Source organism: Homo sapiens, chromosome 5 (assembly GCF_000001405.40).
Source record: "Homo sapiens chromosome 5, GRCh38.p14 Primary Assembly".
Taxonomy (NCBI): Eukaryota; Metazoa; Chordata; class Mammalia; order Primates; family Hominidae; genus Homo; species Homo sapiens.
In genome coordinates, this window is record NC_000005.10 from 41717286 (window position 1) to 41718029 (window position 744).

General features: G+C 44.8%; 1 annotated feature.

The window, feature by feature from the left end:
- Nucleotides 214-398: a silencer, noted in NCBI's record as "fragment chr5:41717601-41717785 (GRCh37/hg19 assembly coordinates)". NCBI's record gives its function as "represses an EF-1alpha promoter that drives an FKBP-Casp9 reporter gene in an ReSE screen in K562 erythroleukemia cells {active_cell/tissue: K562}" and the evidence as "EXISTENCE:reporter gene assay evidence [ECO:0000049][PMID:32094911]".

The following is a 744-nucleotide window of genomic DNA, read 5'->3' on the forward strand; positions in this document are numbered from 1 at the left end:
TGAATTTCCTTCCTTTTTTATTTTTTGACAGTGGTCCTTACACTGGATTCATTTATCCTGAAATGGTGGGCAATCACAGCTTTAGACCCCGATCTGTGGTACGTATCAAGTGACCCAAACTTTTCTTGTAATGCCATGACTTTTCTATGCTTCTTGGGAGCACTTCCAGCACTACTAGTGGCACTTTGTATGAGTCCCATAGTATTATTTAAGGTTTATGGTATTGCAAGAAACACAACAAAAATGTCCACATAAATCATGAGAGATCACTTTTTACTGTGATAAGAAATTTACGGCCGGGCGTGGTAGCTCACGCCTGTAATCCCAGCACTTTGGGAGGCCGAGGCGGGCGGATCACGAGGTCAGGAGATTGAGACCATCCTGGCTAACATGCTGAAACCCCGTCTCTACTAAAAATACAAAAAAATTAGCCGGGCATGGTGGTGGGCGCCTGTAGTCCCAGCTACTCGGGAGGCTGAGGCAGGAGAATGGCGTGAACCTGGGAGGCGGAGCTTGCAGTGAGCCGAGATCGCACCACTGCACTCCAGCCTGGGCGACAGAGCGAGACTCCGTCTCAAAAAAAAAAAAAAAAAAAAAAAAAATTTACTAGAGAGACAAACTGCGCACATGGAGATGATTAGTATGGCATGGCATTTTAAATGGAGACTTGGATACTCACAACAGGAGCTCACTGCAATTGCAAAAGAAGGTAGCTACAAAGTTATTATAGTAGTACAGTATTAC